The sequence below is a fragment of the Homo sapiens genome, chromosome 17 (genome assembly GCF_000001405.40).
Source record: "Homo sapiens chromosome 17, GRCh38.p14 Primary Assembly".
Taxonomy (NCBI): Eukaryota; Metazoa; Chordata; class Mammalia; order Primates; family Hominidae; genus Homo; species Homo sapiens.
Genome location: NC_000017.11, coordinates 77000613 through 77009524, shown reverse-complemented (window position 1 = coordinate 77009524; position 8912 = coordinate 77000613). Strand labels below are relative to the sequence as shown.

The following is an 8912-nucleotide window of genomic DNA, read 5'->3' as shown; positions in this document are numbered from 1 at the left end:
CAAAGTGCAGGGATTACAGGTGTGAGCCATCAGGCTCAGCCTCCTTTTGTTAGTTCTAATGTCTCTCTTTCAAGGTGGTTTGTTTATTATATGCTTTGTCTATTTTTGGAGGGGGCTTATATTGAAAGCATTTGCCCCCACTCCTGTGGAAGTTCAGTGTTCTCTAGTTTGTGTAACTGTCCCTGAAGGGCACTTTCATCTTTGCTTCTGCCAAGGCTCACGTATGTCAACGGTTCTGGACCAGTTTTGATATTATTTTCTTGACTCAGACCTCCTGAGCTCTCACATAGTATAAAATCACACTCTGCCCCAATTTTTGGCACAGGATTTGGGTTTTGATATCTGACAACTGGCTTCTTTTTTGCTATCCAAAGCCCCAAGTCCCCGGTCCAAAAGGCGAAGTTTTTCTACTCCCCTTTTCACCATCTTAAGGGCAGCAATCTACAGCTCCAGGCTTTGAACTGGGGCTCCATTCCCACCACATTACCTCAAGTAAGCTCCAAATGTTACCTCCTGTTCCCACCGTGGAACCTCAGTCCCACCCGAAACCTTGAGGATTGCCAGTCTCTGCTGTCCTGCTGTGACCTGGAACTCTACTTCCCATCCTGAGGATTTATCTTTCCTTCTTTTGAGTATTTGTTTTGAGTAGTTGTTTTTTTGTTGTTGTTCTTTCCTCTTTGTGTTTGAAGAAGGAGAAAAGCCCAGGTCCACTTGGTCTGCGTGGTGATTGGAAGCTCTTCTTCCCCTCCAGTCACCTGGGTTCACCTGGTTCTGTTTGTCTGTGTGGTTTTTTTGTTTTGTTTTGTTTTTGTTTTGAGATGGAGACTCACTCTCAGGCTGGAATGCAGTGGCACAATCTCAGCTCACTGCAACTTCTGCCTCCCAGGTTCAAGCAATTCTCCTGTCTCAGCCTTCTGAGTATCTGGGATTACAGGCACGCGCCACCACGCCCAGCTATTTTTTGTATTTTTAGTAAAGACGGGGTTTCACCATGTTGGCCAGGCTGGTCTCAAACTCCTGACCTCAAGTGATCCACCCACCTCAGCCTCCCAAAGTGCTGGGATTACAGGTGTGAGCCACCGTGCCTGGCCTGTTTGTTTGTGTTTTTTGAGACAGGATCTATCTCTGTTGCCCAGGCTAGAGTGCAGTGGCGCCATCTCAGCTCACTGCAGCTTTAATCTCCCAGGCTCAAGCGATCCTCTTGCCTCAGCCCCCTGAGTAGCTGGGACCACAGGCATGTGCCACCACACCCGGCTTAATTTCATTTTATTTGTTGTAGAGACAAAAGTCTTACTATGTTGCCCAGCCTGGTCTTGAACTCCTGGCCTCAAGCTATCTTCCCACCTGGGCCTCACATAAGTGCTGGGATTACAGCGTGAGCCACTGTGCCTGGTCTTACTTGGTGGAACAAAAACACAAACATCATTCGAAGAGCCCTTATAGAGAGGAGACCAGAGGGAAGGGCAAGGCCAGAAAGAGAGAGGGAGACTGAACAATGATGAAAGAATGGGGCTGCGGGGCCTCAGGGGCAGTTTCTACAGGGATGAATTTGGAGAGACCAGCTTTGGGATCAGAGAAGGGCTTACTTACATTAACAGCCCAGGGGATGGGAGAGTGTGTGATCTGAGAGGCAGCTTTGAAGAGTAGACGCTGTGTGCCTATCTCTAGTTACCTCTCTCTCTCTTTTTTTTTTTTTTTTTTTTTGAGATGGAGTCTCGCTCTGTCACCCAGGCTGGAGTGCAGTGGCACAATCTCAGCTTACTGCAACCTCCACCTCCTGGGTTCAAGGGATTCTCCTGCCTCAGTCTCCTAGGCAGCTGGGATTACAGGTGCACGCCACCATGCCCCACTGATTTTTGTATTTTTAGTACAGACGGGGTTTCACCGTGTTGGCCAGGCTGGTCTCGAACTCCTGACCTCAAGTGATCTGCCTGCCTTGGCCTCCCAAAGTGTTGGGATTACGGGCATGAGCCACCACGCACGGCTATCTCTTTTCAGCTGTCACATGACCTCATGGGAATCACAACTGTGGTTGCCATAGGTCAGCACCTGGGAGTCACCTGCCCCCGGCAGGGGTCCGGCCTGCAGGCCATGTGGGCCCCCACGGGCAGTGCACTGAGCCCCACAGCTCTAGATGTCAGGACAGAAAGAGGACGCTGGAGGGGGAGCTTCGCAGAGAGCCACTGGCAGTTGGGAGAAGCCATCAATCTCTGGTAAAATGGAAGCCTGCCTGCTTCCGGTCGCCAATCAACCAGAGGAGACAGAAGAGGCGGCTGTCACCAAGCTGCCACCGCTCCGGAATCACGGCTGAGTAATTGCTCGGTGCTTCAAGTCCTGGACTGGGGGCTCTCCAAGCAATATTTCATGTGTGAGATATTGAGCCCTCATCGAGAAGAAGAAATATGGTTGTTAAACAGGCAGCTAATGGTGCACCATCTATCTGATGGCAAGTCGGGGAGGCTCATTAAGCTGGCCAGCTCAGCCTCTGAAGGGGAATGCAAAATTAGCCAGAGGAGGGAATAAGTTAGGAAATCAAAGGGGAAGGGCCAGGCGCAGTGGCTCACGCCTGTAATCCCAGCACTTTGGGAGGCTGAGGCGGGCGGATCACTTGAGGTCAGGAATTCGAGACCAGCCTGGCCAACATGGTGAAACTCTGTCTCTACTAAAGGTACAAAAATTAGCCTGGAGTGGGAGCGTGTGCCTGTAATCCCAGCTACTGGGGAGGCTGAGGCAGGAGAATTGCTTGAATCTGGGAAGCGATTGCAGATCGCTGGTTGCAGTGAGCTCATACGCACCAATGTACTCCAGCTTGGACAACAGAGCAAGACTCCATCTCAAAAAAAATAAAAATAAAAAAATATATAAATAAGCAAACAAATAAATAAATAAAGGGGAAGGGGCAGAGAATGCTGATCGTACAAATTGGTGTGGTTCCAAAACACTGAAGGGAAGGAATTGCAAGTTTGCTTTCTTCCCTGCTCCTCAGAGGGAGTATTTTGACTCTGCAGCACGGACTTCTGAGAGGAATCTCCAGTAAGTGCATCTGAGACCCCTCCACAAATTTAGCAACTTCCATTGTTAAATTCTCGCCTTACAACCATCCCCGAACCCAGAAAGCTACTCTGCAAAAACCTGCACAATCAACCCAGCCTCTGGATAATCAGAAAATCAAGAACAACCTCACCTTCATCAGGGAAAAGCTAGGAAACTACCTGCCCTGGGAAATCTATATGTAAATTCAGATTTGCAGCCTTCCCTAGCACGGTGGCGTTTCTGATCTCCAGCCAGACGCCAAGCTAAGATGACACAGAGCCAGCAGCAGATTGCAGTTCAGAGCTGAGGGGTTTCTGTTGGGGTCGGGTGAGGGGAAGGGGTGTCCAGGCTGCTTCTGAAAGTCATAGAAAGTCAAATGGTCTCTACATTGTCCTAGGGAGCCCAAACCTACAGCTCATATTCTAGTTCTTAAAATTGTAATTTGCAGTTGAAAAAAAAATAAAAGGAGGCTGCTGGTGGGGGAAATCGATCATTTTGAAATATTATAAAGCAAACTTTCTCTTTTTTTATTTCACACAGGGTCATGCTCTGTCGCCCAGGCTGGAGTGCAGTGGTGCGATCACGGCTCACTGCAGCCTCAACCTCCCTGGCTCAAGTGATGCTCCCACCTCAGCCTTCCGAGTAGCTGGGACCACAGGTGCACACCACCACACCCAGCTAATATTTTTTACTTTTTTGTAGAGATGGGGCCTCACCATGTTTCCCAGGCTGGTCTCAAATTCCTGGGCTCAAGGGATCCTCCCACCTCGGCCTCCCAAAGTGCTGGGATTATCAGGCAAGAGCCACCACGCCCAGCCAAAGCAACCTTTTTTTTTTTTTTTTGAGACAGAGTCTCGCCCTGTCCCCCAGGCTGGAGTGCACTGGCGCGATCTCGGCTCACTGCAAGCTCCACCTCCTGGGTTCACGCCATTCTCCTGCCTCAGCCTCCTGAGTAGCTGGAACAACAGGCGCCCGCCACCACACCTGGCTAATTTTTTGTATTTTTAGTAGAGACGGGGTTTCACCGTGTTAGCCAGGATGGTCTCGATCTCCTGACCTCGTGATCCTCCTGCCTGGGCCTCCCAAAGTGCTGGGATTACAGGCGAGAGCCACTGCATCCAGCCCTTTTTTTTTTTTTTTTTTTGAGACAGCGTCATGCTCTGTCGCCCAGGCTGGAGTGCAGTGGCACAATCATGGCTCACTGCAACCTCCGCCTCCCGGGTCAAGCAAATCTCCTGCCTCAGCCTACCAAGTAGCTGGGATTACAGGCATGCACCACCATGCCAGGCTAATTTTTGTATTATTAGTAGAGATGGGGTTTCACCATGTTGGCCAGGCTGGTCTCGAACTCCTGACCTCAGGTGATCTGCCCGCCTCAGCCTCCCAAAGTGCTGGGATTACAGGCGTGGGCCACCACAGTTGGCCTTATGGTACTTTAAGGTAGCCTGTCAAACTGAAATAACCAAAAGGATCAAAATCCAGTTTAAAAGAGTTGATTTAAGCGAAAAGCTGAGAATAGCCGTTCAGGTACACAGACTCCACAGGAATAGGGTCAGTGCTCTGAAGTTAAAAGTTAAGGTCTTAGCTGGGCACAGTGGCTCACGACTGTAATCCCAGCACTTTGGGAGGCCCTGGCAGATGGATCCTTTGAGCCCAGGAGTTTGAGACCAGCCTGGGCAAGATGATGGGATCCCCATCTCTAAAAAAAAGTTAAAAAATTAGCCGGGTGTGGTGGTGCACACCTGTGGTCCCAGCTAGTAGGGAGGCTGAGGTGAGAGATCACTTAAGGCCAGGCAGTCAAGGCTGCAGTGAGCTGTGATTGTGCCACTGCACTCCAGCCTGGGCAACAGAGCAAGACTCTGTCTCAAAAAAAAAAAAAAAAGTTAAAGTCTTGCTTGTATAGTCAGAAAACAAAGAAATTTAGTAGGAATATAGCACTTTGTATAGTCTAGTTTATGAGTTACGATTTATTTTTATTTTATTTATTTATTTATTTATTTATTTATTTTTGAGATGGAGTTTCGCTCTTGTTGCCCAAGCTGGAGTGCAATGGTACGATCTCAACTCACTGCAACCTCCACCTCCTGGGTTCAAGTAATTCTCCTGCCTCAGCCTCCTGAGTAGCTGGGACTACAGGCGCCCACCACCACACCCGGCTAATTCTTTGTATTTTTAGTAGAGACGGGGTTTCACCATGTTAGCCAGGACGGTCTTGAACTCCTGACCTCGTGATCCGCCCACCTCGGCCTCCCAAAGTGCTGGGATTACAGGTGTGAGCCACCGCACCTGGCTTAGTTACAACAATTTAATCAGTCACAATGTATTTTCTGTACAACTTGTTTTTATTTCCTTTCCAATTTAAGAGTCTATTTAATGTTCTTAGACAATGTGATAGTCATGAAGTCTTTGCATAAGAAAGGAAAGGGGGAAGTTAATCTATGATGAAGACCAACAGTGAAGAGGGAAGGGGTCTTCCCTGCCACACTTTAGTCACAACATTTTCAAAACAATGTAGGTGAGGAAAAATGCTCATCTATAATCAGAGAAACAAAGGTTATAGCTGCCTGTTTATGTGACTCATGTCCTATAATCACAATCCCTTAGGGCTCAAAATATTTTAAAATTTCAACAGCTTAGATTTTTTTTTTCCTCGCTCTGTCACCCAGGCTGGAGTACAGTGGTGCAATCTCAACTCACTGCAGCCTCTGTCTCCTGGGTTCAAGCAATTCTTCTGCCTCAGCCTCCCTAGTAGCTGGGATTACAGGTGCCCGCCACCACACCCAGCTAATTTTTGCATTTTTAATAGAGACAGGGTTTCACCTCTTACTTGTTGACTCCATACGTGGGTGGCAAGAGAGAGTGAGCTGGTGCCATATGTTGCTATTGCAATTTCAGTGAAAATGTATTACTATTGGCTGGGCTCAGTGGCTCACACCAGTAACCTCAGCACTTCGGGAGGCTGAGGCAGGCGGATCACTTGAGGCCAGGAGTTTGAGACCAGCTTGGCCAACATGGCGAAACCCTGTCTCTACTAAAAATATAAAAATCAGCTGGGCGTGTTGGCGGGCGCCTGTAAGCCCAGCTACTAGGGAGGCTGAGGCGGGAGAATTGCTTGAACCTGGGAGACAGAGGCTGCGGTGAGTTGAGATTGTACCACTGTACTCCAGCCTAGGCAACAAAGAGCAAAACTCCATCTCAAAAACAAAAAATTAGCTGGGCGTGGTGGCACGCACCTGTAGTCCCAGCTACTTGGGAGGTTGAGGCATGGGAATTGCTTGAACCGAGGAAGCAGAGGTTGCAGTGAGCCGAGATTGCACCTCTGCACTCCGGCCTGGGTGTCAGAGTGAGACCCGGTCTCAAAAAAGAAAGAAAGAGGAGCGGGGAGGGGAGAGAGGGGAGGGTTAAAATTAAGTAAAACTAAAAATTCAGTTGCTTAGTTGCACTAGCCACATTTTAAGTGCTCGGCGGTCACGTGCAGCTAGTGGCTACATATTAGACACACACACACACACACACACACACAAAGAGAGAGACAGCCAAGTGAAAGGCCTTTCATAAAGTAGACTCGAAGTCACACAGCATCATTTCAACCTCATTCGGTTCGTCAGACAGTCACCAGCCCAACCAGGTTGAAGGGGAGGGGAAATAGACACCAGCTCCTGAAGGAAAAGCATGCAGACATGGAAATATTGCTGGGGCCATTTTTGGAAACCAGCCACCCCTCCTCTGTGCATCTCCCGACCCTACACCCCACTCTCTTGCACCCATATTCCTGGCCTGGGATGAATCCTCAGCTGAACACGTTACAGGGGCCAGCACTTGGCAGCTTGCCTGGAAAGGGCCTGCCGTCAGTGGGGTGCTGGGCACCAGGGCTGAGGACCGTTGTATTGTATGATTCACTCACTAGGTTTACTGTCTATTTTCTCCCACTAGGATGTCGGCTTCTCAAAAGAGATTATTAATCTCTTTGGTCACTGCTCTGTCTCCAGGGCCTCGAATAGGGCGAGATACATCGTAAGCATTTGATAAATATTTGCCGAATGAATGAATGAACCCAAGTCAGGCGTCCCCCACCTGGGAGGTCTCCGGGAGAGTGATGGCATGGTGACTCATTACGTTCCCGTCTTTGTTCTTCCGCAGCCAACCAGGCCAGGGCACAGTTTGGGATAGGATAAAGCCTAAGCTCCTTGTGTAACTGAACTATGGACCCTGGGGGTGGCGAGAATGCTGCTGCGGGTGGAGGGTCAGCCTGGGTGCAATTCTGGAAGCAAAGGACATACAGTGTGGGTGGTCTCCTTAGTAATGGGATCTGCTCCCCAGGAAGCACCGAGGCCAGGGCTGCCCCAGGGTTCTGTGCCAGCCTCAGGGAACAGCCTGAGGCCAAACCCAGTGTGCCGATGAGGGTGGGGGGCACTGCTCCTTCTAATAATGTCAGGCAGGGATCCATCTGAGCAATACTTCACACCCCTTCTGCCATCACTGATCTAGCCCATCTCTGATAACTGATACTGGGTTTTGGAGGGGGTGGGGTGTGGACGGCGGTCACCCCCAAAAGACCTATAAAGATCCTCATCACTGCATCGTAAGGGAGGCAATATGGAGGAAACCCCGCCCCGCAGGTCCAGAGCCCTGTTCCCCTCTCCTTCTCCCGGGGTTCGGTCTACACTTGTAGGACATGCTCCTTGGGATCGCTGTGGCCCATGGATAGAGGGTTAGGTTTCTTGTTGGGGAGGGTTCTTGTGTTTTTTTGTTTTGCTTTGTTTTGTTTGAGACAGGATCTCGCTGCATTGGCCAGCCTGGAATGCAGTGGCAGGACCATGGCTCACTGCAGCCTCTACCTCCCAGGCTCAAAATATCCTCCCGCTTCAGCCTCCCAAGTAGCCAGGACCACAGGTGCATGCCACCATGCCTGGCCAAATCTTATATTTTCTGTAGAGATGGGGGTCTCAGGGTTTTGCTATGTTGCCCAGGCTGGTCTCAAACTCCTGGACTCAAGGGATCTTCCCATCTCTGCCTCCCAAAGCGCTGGGATTACAGGCATGAGCCACCATGCCTGCCCTTGTTTTATCTTGTTTTGTTTTGTTGGGTATATTTTTTCCTTTCCAACATTTATTTTAGGGTCAGGAGGTACATGTGCAGTTTACTTCCATGAGTAAATTGCATGTCTCTGGGGTACGGATAGGTCGTTTGTCTGTCTTTCTTTCTTTCTTTTCTTTCTTTTCTTTCTTTTCTTTCTTTTCTTTCTTTCTTTCTTTCTTTCTTTCTTTCTTTCTTTCTTTCTTTCTTTCTTTCTGATGGAATCTCACTCTATTCCCCCAGCTGGAGTGCAATGGCACGATCTCAGCTCACTACAGTCTCCACCTCCCTGGTTCAAGTGATTCTCCTGCCTCAGCCTCCCGAGTAGCTGGGACTACAGGTGCATGCCACCATGCCCGGCTAATTTTTGTATTTTTAGTAGAGACGGGGTTTCACTATGTTGGCCAGGCTGGTCTCGAACTCCTGACCTCGTGATCCACCTGCCTCGGCCTCCCAAGTGCTGGGATTACAGGCATGAGCCACTGTGCCCAGCCGATAGGTCATTTTTCAATCCTCGCCGTCTTCCCACCCGCCACCCTCAAATAGACCCTGGTGTCTGTTGGTCTCTTCTTTGTGTCCAGGTGTACTCAATGTTTAGCTCCCACTTATAAGTGAGAACATGGTTTTCTGTTCCTGCATTCGTTCACTTAGGATTCAGTGCTTTTTTTTTTTTTTTTTTTTGAGACGGAGTCTCACTCTGTCTCCCAGGCTGGAGTGCAGTGGTGAGATCTCAGCTCACTGCAAGCTCTGCCTCCCGGGTTCACGCCATTCTCCTGCCTCAGCCTCCCGAGTAGCTGCGACTA

At 49.5% G+C, this 8912-nt stretch overlaps 1 annotated feature.

The window, feature by feature from the left end:
• Positions 2022-2201: an enhancer, noted in NCBI's record as "active region_12819". NCBI's record gives its function as "activates an Ori minimal core promoter by ATAC-STARR-seq in GM12878 lymphoblastoid cells {active_cell/tissue: GM12878}" and the evidence as "EXISTENCE:reporter gene assay evidence [ECO:0000049][PMID:35858748]".